Source organism: Homo sapiens, chromosome 6 (genome assembly GCF_000001405.40).
Source record: "Homo sapiens chromosome 6, GRCh38.p14 Primary Assembly".
Lineage (NCBI taxonomy): Eukaryota > Metazoa > Chordata > Mammalia > Primates > Hominidae > Homo > Homo sapiens.
The window spans coordinates 165,771,794-165,797,224 of NC_000006.12; the positions used below are offsets into that span (position 1 = coordinate 165,771,794).

At 41.5% G+C, this 25,431-nt stretch overlaps 1 protein-coding gene and 1 long non-coding RNA gene across 4 annotated transcripts in view; one reads left to right on the forward strand and one right to left on the reverse strand.

Annotated features, from left to right (window-relative positions):
* The window catches only part of PDE10A (phosphodiesterase 10A), a 660,764-nt gene that overhangs the window by 444,505 nt on the left and 190,828 nt on the right, over positions 1–25,431 (reverse strand). The window lies entirely within an intron of this gene.
* LOC124901458 (uncharacterized) lies at positions 6,801–7,606 on the forward strand. The gene is made up of 2 exons (XR_007059863.1): positions 6,801–6,888; positions 7,467–7,606. It is a non-coding gene; the product is annotated as an uncharacterized LOC124901458 (long non-coding RNA).

A 25,431-nucleotide genomic window follows, 5' to 3' on the forward strand; every position in this document is an offset into this window, starting at 1 on the left:
CACGAGAACTAACCACAGCGACATTTTGGATGAATGCTAGGTGGCCTGTGGGGCGGATGAGCCACCCTGGCCTACGCGGTGTGATGCAGAGCTGGCTGCATGAGGGGAAGACAGGCCAGAGAGACCGGGGCACCAGAAGGCTCTGGCTGGGGTGGGCGTTGGTCTTCCCTTGGCAGGCTCATCAGCACTTAACCTCCTTGCTGCCCCACCTGAAGGTCAGTCTTTTCACCGCCCTGTCTTTTGCTGTGTTTGAAATGCTTCTTTAAAAGATTCACCTTAAAAAATTCGTATTTCCGTGAAACTAAAATAGTGTTTAACTCTGATAATACCCTATTTAAACAATACAAAGTGTTTTTAGCCCCACCGGCAAGTACAAAGAATAAAGCATTGTGTTTTTGAAGAAAGCCTGACAAGGAAACTACAGTATTGACAAAAACTCAACATTATGGGGATTATTTTCAGTGTTGAAATGGGATGCATGTCCGTTATTAAATGCAACAGGCTAAATGCTAGATTTTTACTATATGAGAGAGTAAAGCCCTAAATTCTTAGGGCTTATAAAGTCCTAAAACATTGAAGGAGAAATCCTGACACTTTCCCTCCTCCTTCCAAGCCCCATTGTTTCCTAGTGCCTGTTGTAGACATCGCCTCCAATGTTCTCCATGCGGCGTCCTAGGGCCTCCGCGCTGTGGCCTTCTCTCCTCTCCTGTGTCCAGGGCCCGCGTTGCCATGGGGTCATTATCAGCTTCCAGGGCCAGTTGCCCAACCTGGGCTATCTCTTCGTCTGTAAAAATGAGGCCTGCGTGACCTCCGGGGCCCTTCCGAACTCTATGGTCCCACGATGATGATTATTGTCATTGTATATTTTAATTAGTACTTTATTTTCCAAATAAATCTAGCTGAGAAAACAAATTTAGGGGCGGAAGTGAGGAAAGTTTATGCCCGTTGATTTGGGGGCGGGGTGGGGGAGCAAGGAAGAGACAGAGTGAAAAATCCGAAAGACAGAATAGTGTAGAAGCAGCAACAATGTAGCATTTGGAAGTACACATTAGGAAATGGACTAACAGCCTCCACTCCCTGCAAAATGCAGAGACTCCTGGCTGGGCATCCTTTTCGTAGAAATCAGTTACCAGTGAGTGTTTAAAATATAATGCATAGATAATTGATTCTTTCAACAAACTCATTTTTACCATTTCCTTATGCTGAATTATTTTTAAAAAATAGATTGCCGAAATGATCTGTGAAGCAAGGATCCCTTTGAATTTTCATTTTCTTTTCAGATTCAAATTAAAGAGCTTTTACTTATTCCTACTCCAACAGCACAAACCATGATCTTAAAATACGCACATCCGTATCTGGTCGCTTCCAACTTTGGCAGAAGAAATAATCATTTCTTGTTCTTGTCAGTGTCATTTCTCTTGTTTACTTATTGGGGAAATGCATGTTGACATTATGAGTCCTCTTAGATGTTTCCACATCTGAAATAACGTTCAACAGAAAGTTTTCCTGAAAATATGGCCAATAACTATTTTACTTCCAGAAAGGGCTTGTTTTGTATTCTTAAAGGAACTCGCTTAAACAATGAATTTGCTATACAGGCTATATTTGAAATGTTGCTCTATATCTCATGTTAACAACTTGAACCCTATTTCTTCATATTTTTCCATATTCTCCAATAAAAGTATAAGCTTGAAAATATATAATTTACAAATACTTAATTTTTCTTTCCACAAAACAAATTTCAGAGAAGTCCAGATCTTTGAGTTCACTTATTTTGACCAAGATATAGCCAAGAACAAAAAATAAAGACAAACAAGGCCCCTGACTCAAGCGCATGCAATAAACGAATTCACTATTGATAAAAGATTAGTTTGGGCTAATTAGTTTATTGTCAAAATTTCCAGATAACAGTCTATTAAGAATTAGGAAAGAGAGTTTCCTGAGTCTCTACCACTGATGAAAGGGGAAAAAAATGGCTGTCAGTGTGATGAAAAGTAAACAGACAGAAAAACTGTCAAATCTGGACATAAGAACTCAAAACCTTAGGGTGTCATTTACAATGGTGAAAAATAGCCCTGAACCCTGAAAATCGTAAAAGTAACATGTATTACAACTATCATATGATTCAAACAAGTATTTCAACTTTTTTTTTTTCTAAAGCTGAGATGCTTTTAAGACATTATTTCAGAAAGACTTCCATCAAAACTTTTCAATTTAAAAAAGATCTGACATTTCAATTGTCTGGAAAATTCACTTACGTGTGACACTAGCCTCTTTAAGAAGCCCCAGTGATTAGAAGCCTTTCACATGAAAACACTAGCTCCCTCTGAAAGCCAAATAGGAAAAAAAGTAAAATAAAAAGTCAATGTAAAGTGAAAGAACTTCTAAAAATGGGAAGATAAAATGAATGCGACTTGAAAGTGATTATCTTAACATTTGTGCCTTCTTTTCATTTTAATTCCATTCTGAAAATGGCTATTAAATAACAGGACTGCTAGGAATAGATTTGCAATAATAGAAATTACTTTTCAAGATAATTTTGACAGGAGAAAACAAATTGCAGGGACATGTAGAAATCAATATGTATTTTATGTGTATTTTAAAAATGCATGAAAGTACTGAATATTGCTCTTGAATATACGTATATATAATAAAAATATAAAATAAACATGTATATATAATATATAAAAATATGTATAGATATTTATTACCTATATATTTATATATTACATATTATATATAATTTATATACAAATATATAAAACATAACATGCATATTATTTTATATACTATATGTATATAGTATATAAAAGTATATAATATATATAAAATAAATGACCTGGAAAAGAACTACCAAATTTGCTAGCTGATAGTTACTGCTTCTGGAGAGGGAGGAAGGGCTGGGATGCTGAATCAGATCTCTGATGCTACCAAGATTATTTTCTTTACTCAAACAGAGTGGCAGCTAATGTGACAAAATTATAGTTCCTCATTCTGGGTGGCTGGAATATAGCTCTAAGTTTTATTACTTTTTTTTCTTTTTTTTTTTTTTTTTTTAGTTTTTTGTTTCTTTCATAGTCCTAAAAAAATCCCCCAAGAGCTCACCAGCATGAAAGCACTAGCTCTGAATATGATATGGAGGAACAATGATTTGAAGACCTTCGAAAGGCAAGCAACTTGACACGGGGCATCTTTCTAGATCATTGTTTGGAAGAGAACCATCAGGACGATCCCAGGGGTCCTGTGAAACGCTGTTGGCCTGGGCAAGGAGGGAACTGGTGCTCATCACTGGCCCTCTTCAGAAACAATCTGCTCCGTCCAAGTGCAATATGAGTATTTCCAGCTGACCATGGGGAAACTTGTTTTCTAGTTTATCCCAGCTACATTATCAAGAAAATAGTCAATGGAGTCAACAAATGCAAACCTCTGGAAAACATTTCAGAGACTGGCTTGTTGCTACAACAAGAACGGTGATATCATAATCACCATTGTGGAGCAGATGCCAGGTAGCATTGCTAACCTCTTCAGAATAATTGACATTTTTCTAACATGCAGAGTGGCCATAACAACCACTTCAGCTACACAATAGCCTCCACCGTAACACTTCCTTAGCAACCCGCTTAACACCGTGACTTTGAAATCATCCGCTATTTTGGCAGCAGGATGAATGTTTGCTGGTCGTGAACTTTTCAAAGGTCATCAGCTGGAAACAAGCCTGCCCACTTCCTTTGCCTACCCCGCCACTGCCTGTCGTACCCATCCATCACAGGACATAATGCTTAAGCACTTGAGGAAAAGATAATGCACCGCTTACATTTTCCTAGTGGAACAATAAATTTTATTTCGGGGATGTTGGGGGAAAAAAGTCGTAGTGTTACTGACCCATGTTTTATTAACCTGTCTCCAATTAACAGAAAGGATGACACTAATTGGAAACACACCATTTTGCTTAAGCAATTAATCTTTTTTGGTTTATCTTTTAAAGCCAGTTATTAAAGTACACCTATAAAGCTCATAGGTAGCAAAAATACACAATTAATTGATATTAAACTTGGAACTTGTATTAGAGCTCAAAACTTATACTTAAATTTCAGTGAGAAAAAATGGCCAGTAACTGAATTACTTCCAGAAACGGATTGTTTCGTATTCTTATGGAATTCAACTTGAATAATAAATTTAATCAGCTTCAACATTGCCAGAGTTTTCAAGTGATTTTATTCGATTGGTATGTTCAAGAAGAAATAGGAGAAAGTAACCAATAGTATTGAGCTGCTTTTATTTATTATTTTCAAACATCCCATTTGATGAGAAAAAAAATAGCCAAACTGTTTCTTCACAAATATTTTTAGCTATGAAGTTCACACTAATTTAAATAAACTTATTTTTAGATTGACTGTGGTTAATTATATAAATCAAGCAGCTGTTCCTTATTAATTATGCATATGTATAACACACATTTAAACTTTTCTAAAGTAAAAAAGGGTTACAAGTGTAAGAAAATTTAAGAACATTAATACATAGTATTTCTGCTTCCCTTTTCTCCTAGGGGGTTACAGTAACATCCAAGTAGATTCAACAAGTTCAGAAGTTGATATAATCATTGGCCATTTTTGCTTATTTCGATTAAATCAAAGCACTGCAGTAAAAGAAGGCAAATAAATGTTTCATTAAAAAATTGCTTGCTTTCACTCTAATGCCTTACAGAGCTGGGAGCTGTTTTTGATATGCATATGCCGATCATTAGCAGTAAATGACCTTAATAATGGCATTCATCACTTACATTTGCAGAACACTCTCCAAAGTTCACAAAAGTTTCTCCGTATTATGCTCTTCAACAGTGCTGCAACTGAACCGCCTCCCACCCTCTCCTCTCTCCTTCTCTTCGTTCCTCTTTTCTCTTTCCATCCCTCCTGGGCACTGCATTCAGCCCTGACAGAAATCAAGGAGGTCTGGTCCTTGACCCTTGAGAAGCTCAGTGAGGGCCACAGAGCAGAGAGGAGGGTGGCAAGGCAAATGCCATTCTGTTTTAGAGATGGTGCAACTGAGGCCAGGGAGGCTGAAACCGTTGCCTGAGTGAGACCACATCAGCCTCAGGACTGAAATCGCCTGCCTGCTTTCCAGGAAGCTTTTCTCTTCCTGGAAATTGCACAGACACGTGCAACAAAATTACACATGCATGTTTGTTGTGTCATGTCCCTCTTTCTCTTCACTTTAAAACTGAGGAGGAGGGAATTGTAAAGTGAGGGCGAGGAGAATCTGGCCCTGCTTCCCTGCGATCTTCAAAGCCAGTATTAATACCTGGCACTCCATGCTTGTCTACTGAGAACAGCATCCCGGACGAATCTCAGCTTTGCTCTGCGGGGCTGGCATTGATAGGGGCGGGGCAGAGTAGCTGGGAAGAGGAGATGGGCAGTCACCTGGATGGAAAGTGGATTTGAAGTTGCATTTGGGTGGCAAGAATGCTTCTTTTCTAGAATGTTTATTTGAGGTGGCTTTGAGGGAGAACAGACAAAGATCACGGGAGCATCGGGGTGCAGTGGGCTGAGCGCTCTGAGGGGCGAGGTGAATGATTCTTCTCCGCTTTGGTCGTGGTTAGGTTTTCCTATAGGACCCTTTTCCAAGGAACTGGCCCTAACAAGGGCACTCAACAAAAACCCTGATGATTCCACACATGTGAAAACAGAGGGAATCTCGTCTTTGCAGTCAGTAGTGGCCCATCTCTAGGAAGGACAGACAGACTCTGAGTTATCCTAAGCAAGATGGTCAAATGGTGAACTCTGTTAAATATATGAACGTCTCTCCTGTGGCTTCAAACCCTCTTGGGGGGAAAATGCCGGCTGAGCAAAACCACTCTGAAGCCAAATGGACAGATAAGATCGGCGGCTGATCTCCCCCAGGGTATTTACATTTAATTGTTAATTATGGAATATTTAAAACATACAAAACAATCTACATCTAACACACAGAGGTACATCATAAAGCATCATAATGGATCACTCGTGAGCCAGTCATCAAGTCCGGAATTGGAAGGTTACCTACCGACACCATGGTGTCTGCTGGCCTGCTCCTCCCAACACTGCCTCCTGCCTCTGCCCCCTAGAGGGCCTCCATCACTGAAATTTTGGGTTAATCATTACCTCCTTTAAAAAAATAGTTTTAGCACATATATATGTGTCTATCTCAAGAATGATACATTACTTAGCTTTGCTTGGTTTGGGGTTTAAATTAAAAAGGCTACATTTTTTTTTCATTTTTGCTACATGTTTATTTTCAATTTTTAATTTTTATTATTATTTTTTGAGACGGAGTCTCACTCTGTCACCCAGGCTGGAGTGCAGTGGCACGATCTCAGTTCATTACAATCTCTGCCTCCCGGGTTCACGCTGTTCTCCTGCCTCTCCCGAGTAGCTGGGACTACAGGTGCCCACCATCACGCCCGGCTAATTTTTTGTATTTTTAGTAGAGACGGGGTTTCACCATGTTAGCCAGGATGGTCTGGATCTCCTGACCTCGTGATCCACCCGTCTCAGCCTCCCAAAGTGCTGGGATTACAGGCGTGAGCCACCGCGCCTGGCCTACATGTTTATTTTCATTCAGTATTTTGTTTCTAAAATTCATCCATGCTCTATAGTATGTAGGCACAGCCATCTTCACTTCTGTATAATATTCCATTTTTCTCTATAATGACTTCTGGGCTGTCTCCAAAGCTGCTCTGGACTTCCCCGAGCACAGTTCCTGGTGCCCAGATGCATGCAAGTTTCTATAATGAACACGCCTAAGAGTGGAGTTGCTGCCCCTGGGCTACACAAGTGTTTTGCTTTACTGAATACACAGTGCCTGATTGTTCTCCAAAGCTGCTGAGGCAATTTACTTTGCCATCAATAACGGGTAAGGATTTCCATTATCTATATCCTCACCAACTTTTAAATTGTATCACTGTAGTTTAAACTTATGTTTTTAAGGAGGTTGAGCATCTTTTCATATTTCCACTGACCACTGGAGTTTTTTCTTCTATGAAATTCTTGCTTGTATTTGTTGCCCAATTTTTTTTAATTAAAAATTTTTAAAATTAGATTGTCTTTTTTAGAAATTGATTTTAAGAGTCCTTTATGTATTCTAGGTCCAAATCCCTTGTTGGTTATTGGTGTGGCAAGTGTCTTTTCCCAATATTTGTCTTGCAATTTCACCTTTTTAATGCTATTATTTAATGAGCAGAAGTTCTTAATTGTAATAGGGTCAAGTTTAACGATAATTTCTTTTATGGGTAGTGCTTTTAGTTCTTAAGATGTTATTTCATTCCCAGAATCATAAAGGTATTCACTTATCGTTTTGGAGTTTTAATATATTGCCTTCCACACAAACTATTAGGAATTGATGGTGTGAGGTAGTGATACAAATTTTTGTTTTTTCCCCTACGCGTAACAAAGTTCCCCAAACCTTCCTTGAATGCTCTCCTTCTTTTCCAGGTGACATGCAAGGGGCCTTTTCACTTCAACAGAAAAACAAGTCATTGTTTAGTTTAAAATAATGGAAAATCATTGTGTAGTGAATGATCGTGTGTTCACACTTGCACATGTGTGTATAAATAAAGGTCATTTTTTTCTAAGTAAAGGGGATTTCCCTGCATCCCCAAAGTCACATCACTTCAGCGGCTCCCTATTAGATCTACTCTGCATCAAGTCCTACGTGGGGTTTCCATTTGTCATTGCCAAGCGGCCGTACTCTGCTGCAATTAATCCCCCTTCCAACAAATGTAATTTAATGCCTTTTAAAAATCATAAAATGTTACTTGCTTTTAAAATATTGTTTAATTATTTGGGGTGGTGGCTACAAAGTTGATTCTGTTTAATTTTTTGCTTGCATTTTCTGGAATTTTCTGCACACATTCTTGATCTCAGGCAAACTAGCAGACAGGGTTCTGGGCCCCTGGCAGAGCTGAATTCGTGTTCGACTGCTGTGATGCAGCTCCTGTCTCCCAGGGGCTCCCTGCACCTCCCTCTGCCTGTCCCTGACTCTTCTTCCCACGTGGCCATGGCAGCTGCTTCTCCTCTTCCTCCTCCTCAGGTTTGCCAGGGAAGCAACCTTTGCTGCTCTCCCGCCCAACACTGCCAACCCACTCTTCAATTCACTCCGCTGGGCCACGAATGGTTGGAGAGCATCTATTGAGTGCCTAGCCCTGCTGGTGTCTTAAGACAAAAACACCTGTTCTTGCCTCAAGTCTAAATGTGTTACTGCCTTTTCTCTACTCTCCCCCTCTATACTTAGTTTTTCCCTTCTCAGATTATTTACATTTGTATCTTTAAGTGGTACAAGTTTGAATTCAATTGGCTAATACCTTGAGTTCTTCTAAGGGGACTGAAATTTAATAAATAAAAATACTAATGTCTAGTAAAAACTTTTTGCCTAATCATTTAGTGTAAAAATGCAATAAAACAGAATACTCTTTAATGTTCAAAAAGGCCAGTCATTTTCTTTCAAACAATTGAACATTTTCATATTTAATGAATGCCAGTATGTAATTAATAGAGATTATAACAATTATCTTCACACCATATCAAAATAGGTGTATCATAAGAGAACAGATAATAAGTCTTTAATGTGATTAATTTGTAAATGCTCTTAAAAGCCTGTTTTATGGAGAATAAAAATACTTATAAAAGTGTTAGGTGGAAATGATAAAGTAAAATATCACAGCCATGCAGACGACCAACAGATGCTCCATTAGACCCTGTGTTCTCAGGATGATTAAGAGCAAACCTGACAAGCCTGGAAGGCAGATTCCTCTCTCCTCCATCCCCCAGTGTTTACCAAAGTTCACCCTGCAAGAAAGCATCATCTAGGAGGTTTGGACCATCTTTGCACTTTTTCTAATTGTCAAGTCCTTACACGAGAAATAACGATTGGGCTTATGTTTATGCAAGGCTTCATCTTCCCACATTGGTGCCAGCTGTTGGCCTTGAACTTGCCTGAGGTCTCACCCTCTCAACGCTTTTTCTTCATGATTGTTTAACTTTTTGGATCTCTTTGGTATCTGACTGCTGGATGGTTCAGTTCTAGGCTTTCTCATTCCCTTTATTGGTGCATTTGGGTCCCAGGCTGGTGCTATGGTGTGGGTATGGTTGGCTTTTCCCCACCAAGCCCATGATGAAATTTGGTCTCCAATGTGGTAGTGTTGGGTGGTGGGGCCTAGTGGGAGGTGTTGGAATCACTGATGCAGATCCCTCATGAACGGCCTGGTGCTGTTCTCATGGTAGTGAGGTCTCACTCTGGAAAGACTGAATTAGTTCTCCAGGGAATGGAATAGTCCCATGAGAGTGGTTTGTTACAAAGCCAGGAGGCCCCTCTGGTCTTCTCTTTGCTCGTGTCCACTTACGCTTTGACCTTCTCTGCCATGTTATGACGCAGCACCACAAAAGCCCTTGCCTTGCCAGAACCAAGGGCCATGGCCTTGAGCTGCCCAGACTGCAGAACTGTGACTTAAACCCACCTATTATTTTTTTTAAAATAAATACCCCATCTCAGGTATTCTGTTACGGCCACACTGTACAGACTAAGACACTGGGGATCAGGTTAAGTGAACCAGATGAAATGCAAAGAGATGTAGAGAGAAAAAATCATGTTCTCCATCCAGGGATTTACAGGTAGAGAAAGTACACACCAACTAACTGCCACATGTGGTGAGTGCCGGGTACATGCTTGTGGTTGGGCAGAATGATGCCCCAACAAAAATGTTCACATCCAAATCTCTGGAACCTATGACTAGGTTACCTCACATGGCAAAGGAGACTTTGCAGATGTGATTGATTCACTTAGGGATCTAGAGATGGGAGGCTACCCTGGATGATCTTGGGGGCCCAAGGTAATCACAAAGGTGGAGACAGCAGAGGGAGGAAGAGGAAGACTTGTCTACAGTAGAGGAAGTTCAGGGTGATGCTAAGTGAGAGGAACTCAATCTGCTGTTGCTGGCTTGGAAGATGGAGCAGGACCACAAGCCCAGGAGTGCGGACGGCCTCAAGAAGCTGGAGAAGTGGGGAGATGGATGCTTCCCTGAAGCCTCCAGAAGGAGCCAGCCCTGCCGATACCTCGAGGTTAGCCCAGTGAGACTTGTGTTGTTCTTCTAACTTAGAGAACTGTAAAATAATGAATTTACATTGTTTTAGGTTACAACATTTTTGGTTGTGACATCAGCAACAGCAAAGTAAGACAATGACCCAGATAGTAAGGTAAAAAAGTCCAAAGAAGGGAAAAGTACCCAAGAATATGAGAATGAATGTAGTTGATTTACTGCCTAAGTGTAATCTGGAAGTTCTAATTAAAGTATGTTCACCTTGAATTCCTTAAATCAAAAGTTTCTTAATAGTTCAAAATCTAATCACAAAGTTAGCGTGTAGCTCAGTAAAAGGACGAAGTCATGTGAACTGCTGACAAGTTAATTGTCCTCTGGGATTTTACTGCCATCCTCCTCAGGAATTTGATTTATTGCTTCAGAGAAATAGAATTGCTGATTTAAGTCTGCTCACAGGCATTGCTGTAGACGAGTCTCCTCCCTTACTTCAGTTTACAGGCATTTATTGGGCCATCTTCACCGTAAATCACTCTCAAACCTCGTCAGAGTCCACAGCAGGGCCAAGGCGTGGGAAACCTGATTACCTGTATCACCAACTGCCTACAAAATCGGCTGAGTGCACGGCAGTTCTGATGTGTATGAGGGCTACATCCAGAGTTAGAGATCAGTGTGGTTTCACTATTTTTCATTTGACCTTCAGAAATGAACATTGGACTCAATTATCCAACCCTCCCCTGACATTTCCTCTGGAACTTGGAACTCTGTTAACACAATCTGTCGTATTTCCCCTGGGTCCATGTATAACGTAGTATTCATCATAAACTAATTCTAAAACTAAGATGCCTATTCCAAAGAACATCAAGAACTACGTCTTATCGTGTACCCAGGGACGTACTTACCCATCCAGCAGACAAGCCCTTGCAGATGCATGGTGACTTAATGGGTATGAGATGTGGGGAGCAGGAAATTGTACAATCAGATTTCAAAACTCCAGTTCCATTTCTGTATGGGAACCGTGTGTGATTTTTTAAATGCTGCTGCGTATGAAGGAAAGAAGAAAAGCCACCTATGCACAAATACAGATGTTTGTGTGGTGTTTTCACATGACCATGGCTTCCTAACACTTGCTTTGTGGTCCTCTCTGATGCTCTACATACACTTCCTCGCTTATAAATTCATGAGTATGTGACTCACATACTCTGTAGAATTATGTGGTCTGTGAAGGCAGTAACATTTTTTGGCTACTTAGCCATCTAAAATAGTGTTGAAAATATTTTACTCAGTTTGTAAGTGTTTATTGAGTAGATGCTATGCCTGAAGCCCCTTACTAGTGGCTGCTAAAGTAATAACAGAGGGCACCTCATCACACTTGTCAAGTTGCACAGCCAGCTAGCTGTTACAGAATACGAATGACGATTACAGTCATCATTTTAGTCATATTTTTGGCATATGTGTCTTATCAGTTCTACTAAGATACAGTCTTTTAAAGGTTAGGACCAGGTCTTTTAGATTTTTATCCCCCACTGTAGCATGTAAGGTGGCATGTTTTTACCCATTCATACCATTTCTATAGAAGGAATGAATAAAATTAAGAAACAGAAATGAGTACACTTAAAAAGAGGCCACTTCGTGAGATTGGGAACTTTTACCTATTTGATGATTCTGTTTTTATTAAAGTAGTGGTGGACATTGTTCACAGAAGAGAGGATGTTTTCTTATGAAAGGAAACGAGTCACATAGAATGAAAACATCAACACCTGTAATATCATCAGTTTAGAGAAATCTCACATTCAGAGCAAAGGTATCACAGAATGAGTCCTTTACAAACCCTTACCAGCCGTTACTAGCCCTGTGTAAGAACTGTGACAAAGACTGAGATCTAGGAACAAGCAATAGAGCCCATCTATGTCAACACCATTCATCCCAGAGAAGAGGAAACTAGAACAAGTGAGGTTACGTGACTTGCCACGTTCCTAGTGCAAGGTAGCTTGAAAGCCAGGAGTAACCTAGGTTTGAGAAATAAATGGACTGGTGTTCAAGAAGAAAGTGAGAAGCGGCTATGAAAAGCTGTCTGCCTTGGCCGGGCGCGGTGGCTCACGCATGTAATCTCAGCACTTTGGGAGGCCAAGGCAGGTGGATCACGAGATCAGGAGTTCAAGACCAGCCTGGCCATCATGGTGAAACCCTGTCTCTACTAAAAATAAAAAAATTAGCTGGGCGTTGTTGCATGCACCTGTAGTCCCAGCTACTCGGGAGGCTGAGGCAGGAGAATCGCTTGAACCTGGGAGGCGGGGAGGTTGCAGTGAGCCAAGATGACACCACCACACACCAGCCCAGGCAACAACAATGCGAGACTCCATCTCAAAAAAAAAAAAAGAAAAAAGAAATAAAAAGAAAAGGTGTTTGCCTTTAACTCAGTGGACGTGTAGCATCCACCCACTTCAGCCATCCTAACCTCAACCATCGCCTCCCATGAGCACCTCCTTGGTATTTACCTGGTCCTTTCCACGTTTCTGAGTAACTTCCTGATTGTTTGCTTAGCTTAGCCCTCTTTCTACTAAGGGACCTTAGGACAACTGAAGAAATTTGAATGTTACATTTCAAAACTTGAATATGGTAGAAGGTAGAATAACAGACTACTCATATTGTTTCTATTTTAAGAGCAGTTAAATGTAAAGAATAGCAAGTAATGCCAAATTGCTTATTTAAATGCGCACTCAAAAATTATCATCCAAACAGCTCCCTTCTGATGGACAGCCGGCATCTCTGATCACTTTTGCTTTTATTTTCTCCTTTTCCATGCAGGTCACATTCGCTGGTCAGAGGGTGGGAAAACTATGGGTATTGGGACAGCCAGAGACACTGAGACAAGCTAGATGGAATTCAGTGGCATCCGTAATAGGGTTTGCATGGGAAACTGTATATTCAAGCTGGGATGAAGACAGGTGGAGGCTACTCTGGGGATGGAATCACTTAGTTGGTCCAGTTCCATTAAGACAGGATCAGAATGGTAAGGGGGAGTTGGGGCTGAGACTTTTCAGTACTGAGAGAGCTCCTGGGGAACTGGTTTTCACAGAGAAGACCAGGAACCAATGCTGTCCTTTATCCCGCAAAGTGTCAAAGTTTCTCTTCTATCGTAAGGTCCTAGAGCTAAAAGAAGGATAGATCATCATGGATTGGAGAATTAAAACTCTGTGGGATAATTTCTTGGGAGTCTCAAAGACATGAATTCTTTCATCACTGCTTTGCCTTTTACAAGTCACAGGGCACTGGGCAAGGTGTGCACCTCGAAGAGCCTCAGTCTCCTGATCTAGAAAATGGACTTAGGGTCCTTGCCTCCTGGTGTTGCTGTGATCATTGGAGACAGATTATTCACATGAAGTGCCTAACCTAATGCTTGACATGTCCTAGCTACTCAGTAAATACTAGTAGTTATTCTCATTTTTCCCCATATACTCCTTTTCTAGACTATGGACAGAATTTCTGAAAAAGCAGGGACTAATATCTGAATGCTCTTTGAGTCAATAGTTTTATCTGGCTGGTAAAATAAAGCTTAGATTTTAACTCAAGAGGGTGCTTGATTAGCATCATAGATATCCTCAGAAAGACAATTAGACTTAACTGAAAAAGTCTCAGTGCTAAGAAAATACTATTATTGTTGTTGTTATCGTTATGCTTTTGTGTGTTAAACCAAATTCGTATCCACTTGTCATTACCAAAATTTAACAGCCTCTAAATCCATTGTCCCATGAAAAAATAATAGCCTTTTATCAAATTTCTGCACCTTGTAAAATAGTCCTGATGCTAAATCAAAGTAATTCAGATGTCTTCCAAAAACAGTTCTTTTTATTAGGGGGATAAAAGAGAATTAAGGATGAAGTGAGACTTCTAGTCAGTGGTTCCCAAATGGAGCTGCATGTTAGCATCGCCTGGGAACTTTCAGGAACGGATTCTTAATCATATTTTCACACACCTCAACCCAGATTCTGTATTTCAACAAGGTGATTCCAATGTGCAAACAGGTTTGAAGGCCTGTGATAGAGTTCAGAACAAGTATCTTTAAAATAATGGGTTTCTCATTCAAATGTTTATACTTCCGTAATTTGTTTTGAAACTGCTTTAGTAACTCAAATTAGTGGTCACCATATTCCTCATTAATGTCATTCAACGATATTCACAATGAGTTGCGACTTCCTAAAATACAGACCTGAACGATGTATTCCAGAATAACGTTTTAGCTACGTAATCGATTTATTGAGTCTGCTGCATGGAGGAAACAGATTATTTAAGACCTAATCTCAGCATTTAACAGAGCGCACATCTGATGGGACTGACAATTTCACACATAGAGAAAAGCCCCTGATACAGTCTAAATCAGACAGTGTACACTGTGAGTGTCCCAGAAGTTCAAAGGAGGGGTGACCCCAGGTGGAGGGAGACCTGGCATAGCACAGGGTTGGCTGTGCTTTTAAACCCACTAAGCGCTGTATGAAAAGAGTAATTAGCAAATGCAAATTCAGTTTGTGGACACACCAACATTCTTTTCCAAAACATCACTAACTCATTTTGAAGATAAAGTAAACTTAACTTGGGTTAGTATCAAAATAATTTAAATGTACCTGTGAGGGGTAAAGAAGCATTTCTCCTTCACAGAAAGAAGACTTATTTTCCACATGACTGTTTATGGGAAAACTGGGAGGTCATCTTCCTGCAGCTTTTAGAATACAAAGATGACACATGGGCTGTTTTGCATTAATGAGGCTGATGAATCTCACCACATGGCACTTCAGCTTGGTGTTCCCTGATTTCCACGATGTCCTATGAAACTGATATCAGAGTTCTTGTTATCAGAAAAAAAGAGATGGAGGAACTTCTCTATTCCTGAAATGAGAATACTAGAGCAACTCTAAATGGATCAACTTGTGAGTCATAAAAACTTGATTATAAAACTGGACATTTATAGATATCTTTCCTTTTTGAATATTTTTTGATATGTACTAATGATTTTCTTATTTAAAATTAGGTTGCTAATTTCAAATCTTCACATATAACAATAATGGCAACTATATTAGTAATTATTCTATAGTTTAAATTAGTGTTTATTAACATTTCTTTGCTTCATTCCAGAAAGTATAAGTGAGTAATTAAATATATTCTTTAGCGGCAAATTATTCTCAGTGGGTATTTTCAAATTCAATTTAATGAATAAGACCTCACAGTTGATGGCATAAAAATTACAAACGTGAATAAAATGTAAGCTCTCTCTTAAAGAAGCGAGATAAAATTTAATAAATTCCCCAAGTAGAAGTACTATAGGTTAAAATGATCATTAAGTTACTGATAAACAGCCATTAAAAAAACCCATATAAAAACAGGAGAATTTCTAGAGACAAAAGACCCACAAGTTCCTGAGTGTTAATGAATAGTGAATGCTTTACAAGAAATGAAATGATAATGTTTTCCAGCATGAAGAACTAGGGATTGGACACTAGTGATGATGGTGTTACAGCCCGGGTGAGGGCCCGTCCTGGTGCTCTGGCCTGGTGAGCATGTAGAAACTGCACCCAAATTACTGAAGGCATGAATAAATGATGGAAGGGATGGATAAGCAATTGGATGGGGACAGAGCATCATTTTCACCATCTCTCCTTTATGCCAGAAGCCATAAAAAGTCCCCCAAATAAGAGACAAGCATAGCTGTCTGTAACAGTATTAGGAGACATACAGAATTAGAGTTTTACAGAATGCTACTTCGTAGGAGTGATTACTCAGCAATGTTAGTTATCTAACTACCTTTAACCATCATTTTTTTCTTATTCAGTAATTCATCCATTCAATAAAACTCATTGAACTTATCCTGTGTGCCAGGCAACCTGCAGGTATCCTATTTGGAGAGAAGGTTTATTAATCAGAAGAGCGGCTAATAGTTTACCATCCACTCCACTGCGAAGTCAATCTGGAACATTAGAGATCAGGACTAAAATCATCTGAGAATCAGTTTTCTGATCTGAAACCATAGGAATAAATATTTTAAAAGCTCTTTCAACACTTCTTGACCCAGAAGTTCTATAACTTGTTTGCTATATTATAGCACAATCTAGCATAAATAAGAGACCACCTTCATGTTCCTCAATGAGAGTGTGATGTATAGACATTCATTTAAATCTGTATTTATTAATATTACACAATCTGTCTTTACTAAGATGGAAAGCCATCCTTGCTATATTAACTGAAAATGCAGGTTATAACTATGGATTATTCCATGTTTTGGTGGCCACATGCAACATGTATAGCATATATCTACATATATTATGTGTAGAATAAAATGTAACCTTTGTGTGGTGAGGTTACATAACTCTTTCAAGAGTATACTTCTGGCCAGGTGCGGTGGCTCACACCTATAATCCCAGCACTTTGGGAGGCCGAGGCGGGCAGATCACCTGAGGTCGGGAGTTGGAGGCCACCCTGACCAACATGGAGAAACCTCATCTCTACTAAAAATACAAAATTAGCTGGGCATGGTGGTGAGCACCTGTAATCCCAGCTACTTGGGAGGCTGAGGCAGGATAATCGCTTGAACCCAGGAGGCGGAGGTTTGCCATGAGCCGAGATCACACCATTGCACTCCAGCCTGAGCAACAAGAAGGAAACTCTGTCTCAAAAAAAAAAAAAAAAAAAAAGAAAAGAAAAGAAAAAGAAAAAAAAAAGAGTATACTTCTTTCCTAAGTAGGTATTCTATTTTCTCAGCTTCTGTTAGCTTTCAGGGGATATTTAATCTAACAATCCTGAAATTCATCTCATTATCCTGTCCTCATCCTTGAAGAAAGAATTCAGAACTACTGCTAATTCTAGAAGAAATAAGTCAGTTTTTCCAAATTAAAGCAGGATGGTTATTTAAAAGTTTTATTTTCTATTCCATAATCTATCATTTAGACTGTTACTTTGTATGCAGCCATTTTTGCAGGTTTGAATGAGGGAGAAAACCTAAGGTAGATGCCTTAGGTATTCAGTGGAGACAAGCAGGACAAATGGAAGCCAAGTGCGTGCACCACCCCCAGTGTGTGCACCATCCCCAGGAGAGGAGGCTGGAAGAGGGAGAGAGGTGGTGGAAAAGGCAATGATGGGACAGCTCCTGGTGGTGGCCACAAGGCTGCTCTTCTGGCTGAGTGGAAGGAGGCCGAGGGAGGGGCAGAGCATCCTCTGTGGGGGCTGGAGGTGAAGATGGCCATGTGGAAATGACCCTGACACAGACACTGAGACTGTAGGGTCTGGAGTTCAGGGTTGAGGCAGTGCCAAGTACCACATCACACACAAATGCTGGTGGACCACTACAGGCAGAAGTTAATAATTTTTTTACATTTAAATTTAAAATATAGAATTTGTTCAACACATTCTGTTTCATAATCCTCCAGTAAATAAAAATGTAGTCAGATTTGTACAAACATATTAGAACTTCACAAGTCTTAAACTTTGCCAGAGATGGCCAAACTTAGCAACTATTTTAATATGGGAGCACTTTTGATCAATTCATCAAGCATAATTTTAACTCACATTTAGCCTTAAAACCATCTGTGAAGCCTATACATGAATAAATTTGTGAATCGTTCCTGGGGGCCTGAATGTACAATGAAAAAGTTTATATTATTTTATATATTATTTTATTCCTGGCCACTAGTGATTTTAATCAAGATATATTACTTTGGTTAAAATAATAATTACATAAGAAAACAGCAAATACTAATTGCATGGATTGTTCTCTGGAATATGTCAATCCAGCAACATCCAGAAGAATGGGTTTTCCCACACCAGAATGAATTCCCGTGATAACAAACGCCGTGCGGTCACTAGAGTTTGCCTTTGCTTTCAGTCATTGAAAATGTTAACTCTCAGTTCTTTTATTACTTGCCAAAGACATGCTTTATCTTACTTTTCTCCTTTAGATTCTCAGGCACTTTTTTTTTGCATATATGGAAAAAATATATATGGTTTACTCATGGTCACTATAATATTGATAGTTTGACCCTGGTAATTTAAACTGATAATCAAATTGTTCATGTTTGTGGATAAGAAAGAGACGGGATGGTGTGGAGAGTGAGGGAGAGGAAGAGAAAGAGAAAGGCCACATTTGGGGAACTGTCAATTTTCAAACTGTATAATCTACTGGCAAAGAGGAAGGCACGCTCTGAAGATATGCAAACTAATTTCCAGGGTCGCTATGTCAGTACTTTTATTACCACATTGTTAAAATGTAATTCTTGCGTATTTCTATAAATATTCAGAGATTTTTCTAACTTCTAGTAAAATACTTTGTGGCTAAACATGTCTTTCTTTAATGGGAAGAAGTAAGGAAGGCATCGTATTCATCCAATGCTGGAAGCACAATATTGATTTTCATAATTATATTTATAGGTGTTTTCTCTAGTTTCATGCTCAGTAAGATTCAGGAGAAAGAGAGGAGGTAGAAAGGAAATACATATCAGAAAAGATTTCTGACTACTACATGGAATATGCCCTGAAAACAGCGGTGCTCTGTTTGCACACTTCTCTGGGGGAGGAAGTCTCTTTTTAGATTGTTCCTGAGTTAACCTAAGAAAGTTTGGATAAATATAAAATTGTAATAAGCCAATAAGCAGCATCCATAGCATTTTGTCATTAAAAGCAATAAATTCTATGTGCGGCAGGGGTGAATTCTTATCTTCTCGGCAGTGGGCAGGGGTAAGTTGCCCAGAGACATGGCTCATTCTGACACTGGACGGTTTATCAGATGGCTCTGGGGATGTTTCCTAATGGGCTGTGTTGAGACCCCGTCAGCCGTCTCTGCCCGTGGGAGTTCTTGCTCTCATTCACTGTGGAGGCCTGCTTTTCTCACGTCCCAAGAAGGTCACGTGGGGTCATTCTTGGCTGGAAAGTGTGTGGATTGAGCACACTGTGTCCTGTGATGTGTCTTGCACCCTACTAGCATTTACAACTTTTCCTAACGTTTTTATTTGATTGACGAGAGTACTTAATGTGTGATCTACCCTCTTAACATTTTAAGAATACAATGCATTACCGTTGACTATACCTGCACAGTTGTACAGCAGGCCTGCGGAGCTTACTCTTGCATAACTGAAATTTTATGCCCACTGATCAGTAACTCCTTATTTCTCCTACCCCTTAACCCCAGCAACCAACTCCTGGGCTCAAGCAATCCTCCCGCCTCAGCTTCCTAAGTAGCTGAAACTACAGGTGCATACCACCATGCCCAGCTAATTTTTAAAAAATTTTTTGCAGAGATGGGGGTCTCACTATGTTGTCCAGGCTGGTCTCAAACTCCTCTTCTCAAGCTATCCTCCCACCTTGGCCTCCCGAAGCGTTGGAAGGGCAAGGTGGGAGGACAGCTTGAGGTTTTTTGATTCTATGAATCTGACTGTTTTAGATTTATCACACCAGTGAGATCACACAGAATTTGTCTTTCTGTGTCCTCCAGGTTCACCTATGCTGCCACATATTGCAGAATGTCCTTCTTCTTAAGGCTGAACCACAGTCCTTGGCATGTAAATATGCCACAATTTCTTTATCTACCTGTTGATGGACATTTGGGTTGTCTCTGCATCTTGGCTATTGTGAACGGCGCTGCCACGGTCCTCTGACTTATTTTAATGTTTATCTTCCATGGTAAATGCCCCTGTGTTTTCCAACCTCCCCGATTTCTGTCCACACTTTCTGAGACACCTGAAGTGACACTGCTGGGTCTTTTGATGTCACAAGCTGCCCCCTGGCTTAGGAGACACGGCTCGTTTCTAGGGAAGGACGAAGATCAGCGCAGTCTCACAGCTCCGTGGCCTTCACCCTCCCAGCTCTGCAATGGCTCGTGCTGCCTTACCTAGAGTCTCCGGCCAGGTCAGCTTGACGTTCCTTTCCCAGTTCAAACTTACTATTTAGGAAAAGCGTTTCTTGGGCTTTGCTAGCTTGTAGGGACAGCGTGAGAAGAATCTCTGTAATCACACTCCAATGATACACATTTTTAGGGACTTCCTTGAAACCCACATAATCCTGACTGTCTACTTGCCTTGGGGTCCGAAGTCAGCTCTGTGCAACACACATACAAGACTCTCAGCATCGGCCGTGAAACCACGATGATGTTCTGCTGTGGCAGATGGAATCGATCGGCTGGTCCTGCATCAGGCCCCCGCACGCAGCCCAGCCTGCCTGCCGGTCATGGCTCCTGCCCGACGTTGTGGTTCTTCAGTGTCTGGAAGGAGGCACCCTCAGTCATGCACCCGCATTCCCACACCTGCTGCTTCTCGGGCCTGCAATGTTCGCCCCTGCCCCACTTGCCCTCATCCACCAAAGGCAAATGTGAAACTTGAGCAAACAACTACCAACCAGGCCGGGTTTTCACCCCTAAGATGAGTCACCGTCGAGCAGAAGGCCATTGCTAACGATGTCCTCTGGATGGAGCAGGACGCAGGCTGCAGAGGGCCAGAGCATCTCCTGTAAGGGAGCGGGAAGGAACAAAGTTGATCAGCGTCAACGCCACCGCCCTGGGCAGGTGCTCTGTTGCTGCCAGAGGGCCCGGGGTAGCCAAAGCTGCTAGTCACCTCGGGTCTCACCGGGCTTCTCTTCTCAGGGCACTTGGTTCCCTGGCTCACTCTCTCCTTCTAATGCTTTTGTTTGTCTCCAGGATGCCACTCTGTTTGGCTGGCACCTTTTTTCTTTCCAGTCTCCCCAGTCTCCGCTGCAGGGTTCCTCTCCTTGCCCCAGATTCCACCGGGTTCAGTCCTGGGTGACTCCTCCAGTGCTGTGCCTTGAATGCGGTCCCGACGCTGACCACACCCAGGTTATGTCTCCAGCCCAGTCCTCTCTTCAAGTCCAGACTCCAGTACCCAAAGACTCACCCCATTTCCAATGGGATGTCCAACACCCCTATCCGACCTAACACGGTTAAAAGGTTTGTAAGTGATTGTTGTGGCATCCAGTATTCAATAGATTTTACTGACAAATACATACTTAGAGGTTTTAAGTGTTTCTTCTATTTTCTCTGCTGGGACTCTCATGGAGTGAAATGTCTCCCAGCCTTTCCTGTCTGGTGGGGTCAAGGCCGGCAGGCACAGTGGTGCTGGGGTGGGGGGTGGCTGTTCTCAGTTCCCTTCAGTCCCCTTAAGAATTAGCTCTCCATTTCATAATGCAGATTCAAATGCTCAAAAATAACACAATGTGTATGAAAAGACAGAAATGAAGCCTTCACACCGTTTCATACAACAGACTCTGAAGACTGTCTCAGGCCAAGCATTGAAACTGGGCTTTATGTGGAAGTTAATCACCAAAGGCACTGAGGTTCGGGCTGAGAATTATTACCAAATGCATGAGCCAAACTACCACAAGCCTTCTCTCTATCTGCTCCCATTCTTTTTATTTTTCTTTTTTGTATCTTAATTGTAAGAAGTCCTCGGCCTTATAAGAAAAGAAATAATTCAATATGATGAAGATAAAATTCAATTTACAGATTCCAAAATCCTGTCATCAGAAAAAAAAATACATAATGCAAGCTCTTATTAGCAGAAGTTGTTTTGCCAAGCAGAGGGCATTCTGGACAGTGGGAGAGCCTGCGAGTCCTCTCCCTGCTGCCTGAGACCCGGGGCTGGGGGGCGTGGGGTGCAACTGCACACCTGACAGTGCGCTCCCTGAAATCTTCCTGCAATCCCACCTGACACAACCTGTGCTCTCCACACCCCCAGCTTTCCATGACAAGACTCACAGCAGAGCAAGCGATTGGGGCTCACACTGGCCTCTGCTGCACCGCTGGGGGTCTCCCCACAAAGCCTGTCGCTGTGACCTTATGGAGTGCCTTGGCCAAGTGGTGGCACTTAGATAAACACACAGGGGCTGGCATTGCCACTTTGCCTTCGGCTTGTAGTTCTCTGATACTCAAAATGAATACAGACCATCTTACAAAGATTTCTGCATCAAAATTCATCGGAGGACAAGGAGATGTGCACACAGTGACAGTAACTTGCATTTGTTAGATGCTTATAATGGGCCAGGTACTGGGATTGGCACTTCACCCAAATTATCTGGTTTAATCTTCACAAAAATTCTGTAAAATAGGTATTATGTTTCTTTTACAGCCCTAAAACCAGCCTCACAAAAATTAATGCCAGTCCAGTCTCAAAGCTAGTAGCAAGCAAAGAGAGACAGGATTCAAAAGTCGAGCCGTTTGACTGCATGCTCCAGCCTCCTGTTTATTGTGATGCAACATGGTTCTACGCAGGCATACACACACACACACACGCTCACACTCACTCACACACACTCACTGCACACTCATACACTCCCTCCCACACTCACGCACTCACGCTCACACACACTCATCACACAATCATACACTCCCTCCCACACGCACACCTGCTCACACTCACATACACACTCATCACACACTTATGCACTCCCTCCCACACTCACACACGCTCACACATACTCATCACACACTCATAAACACCCAGACTCACACAGATGCTCACACACACTCATACAATCCCCCACACTCACACATGCTCACACTCATCACACACTCCTACACTCACTCACACACTCACTTGTACTCACACACTCACATGCCCATGCATGCACGCACACACTCATTACACACACTACACACTCACATGCTCACTCATACACTCGCACACCCTCACACACACTCATTACACACTCACAAGGTCACTTACACACACATTCCTACACACACATATTCACTCACACACTCATACACTCACATACACATGTATCTCACACAACCCACACTCTCACACACATTCACACACTCAATAACTCACACACTGACAGGAATATTTTCTCATTTCACCCACACAAAAAAACCACTAGTTTTGAAACAATTAGATTCCCTGAGAATTGATGTCTCCCTGACACAATCATACTTTAAAAGGCAGGTCTTAAGTGAAGGGATGACTTTATCGTTTAATTTTATCAATAGTTGGGCGTAAGTAAAACTTTCTTGAATAGGAACTTACAGTACTGATGAGAAAGACCCACAGGACTGTTCATGAATAAACATGAATGTGCCTATTGTTTCGTGCTGCACACAATCCTATTATAGAAAAATATTCAAATTATATAGATACTCTATTATAAAAGAAAACCTTATGTGACATGGGCTTATTTCAGGGCTCTGTCAAAACAGGGCTGTCACTTTAATGTCAAAAAAGGGAGTGAATTTTCTGCATCTACCTACCCCACTCTTCCCGGCAATGGCTCCTGTCATCTTCAGGGACCTGAACTGACTTTTCTGGAGGTGGCTCTGAAGAGACTAGAACAAGCATCACCTCTGGAGGGAAACTTGCAACATCTTTTTCCTTCCCTTTCTCTCTTCTCTACTTTTCTGTGTTCTTCCTCCTGGAAATTCCCTAACATTTCCTGCTCTGTTTAGTCAGTTGGCCATCAAGCTGTCTGCAAGGGTTTTCCTTTCTAGCAATGACTTTGCTGCTGAGACCCTCATCCACCGTCGTGGTGCCCAGCGTGAGTGACGGGAGCTACACGCAGGTCTTTATAGCACATCACCTGTGACTGGCATAAAAATGGGTCAAGGGCTGGGCGCGGTGGCTCATACCTGTAGTCCCAGCAATTTGGGAGGCTGAGGTGGGCAGATCACCTGAGGTCAGGAATTCAAGATCAGCCTGGCCAACATGGTGAAACCCCGTCTCTACTAAAAATACAAAAACAAACAAACAAACAAACAAACAAAAAAACCAGCAGACGCGGTGGTAGGTGCTGTAATTCCAGCTACTCGGGAGGCTGAGGCAGAAGAATCGCTTGAACTCGGGAGGTGGAGGCTGCAGTGAGCCAAGATCGCGCTACTGCAAGATCCAGCCTGGGCAACAAGAGAAAAACTCCATCTCAAAAAAAAAGTCAAGGCTCGCAACTTAATGTAGTGGCCTGAGTCTAATTTGTTCATCACTCTCCTACCCCTGAAGACATTCTTACTGGCAGTGACCTTGGTATACAGATGAGGTCAAAAAGAATACCACCTTACAGTCCTCTCCACCCTCCATACCTCCTCAGACTGTTCTGTGGATTAGAACTGCAGTTATAATATGCACTATGGTTGGGTTTTTAAAAAGCTTTTCTTTTCTCAATGCTCATCTGAAGTCTTTGCTCATGAAAAGTCTCTGAATTCAACACAGGAAGATTTTGTAGCTGGAATGCATTTGCACGTCTTTTCTTTTTTTTCTTTTCTTTTTTTTTTTTTTTTTTTTTTGAGACGGAGTCTTGATCTGTCACCCAGGCCGGAGTGCAGTGCCGCAATCTCGGCTCACTGCCAGCTCCGCCTCCCGAGTTCACGCCATTCTCCTGCCTCAGCCTCCCAAGTAGCCGGGACTACAGGCGCCCGCCACCACGCCCAGCTAATTTTTTGTAGAGATGGGGTTTCACCGTGTTAGCCAGGATGGTCTCTATCTCCTGACCTCATGATCCGCCCGCCTCAGCCTCCTAAAGTGCTGGGGTTATAGGCGTGAGCCACCGCACCTGGCCTGCACATCTTTTCTCAGTCACTGGGAAAAGACATTTCCTTACATCTTCTCAGTCATTTGTTTCTTATCTTGATCTTATTTTGGTTTCCCCAAAATGGCAGAGCCAAGACAGAGACAGCTGTCCTGCCCAGGATAACATTTGGGGGATGTATATAAATCAATGTGGTTATGTGTAAGCATCAGTTAGGGAATTACCACTACAGAGGTCAATAATAAATAAAATTTTTTCCTTTCACATCCATTTCACAAAATAATAATAATTCTCCAATGACATCTACAATCAACTCTCCTCAATGATTCCCATATATCTATTATTCAAGCTTTTATTTTTTGTTATTCCAAACCAAGACCCAATCCAGGTGCATGCACTGCATTTTAGCTGCTATGTGCCTTGGGTTTCAAATAGTCTATAAAGCCTCACACCAGCCCCAGCCCCACTTTCCCCCTCATTTTCAAGACATTGACAATGGGAAGACAGCAGGGCAATTCTGTGGGATGTTCCACTTTCTGGATTTACTGATTGTTTCTTTCCTCATGGTACCACTTAACTTATTCTTCTATCTCCTGTATTTCCTGTATTCTGGAAGTTAGGTATAAATAGAATAACCCTATACTTGATCCACACTGGAATACTTTGAGAGTGAATGGAGTCTTACCAATAATTGTACCCAAATAACAGGTAAAAAGCAGGACTCTCCTAGCAAATGGGTGCAAGTGACCCTTGGTTTAGTGGCTTAGTCACATTCAGGCGATGGAGTTCAGATGACGTGTTGAGCAAGGACACTCCACAGTGTTTCTGTGTGGCTCATGGTGTCTCCCACCAGACATACTACTGAGATG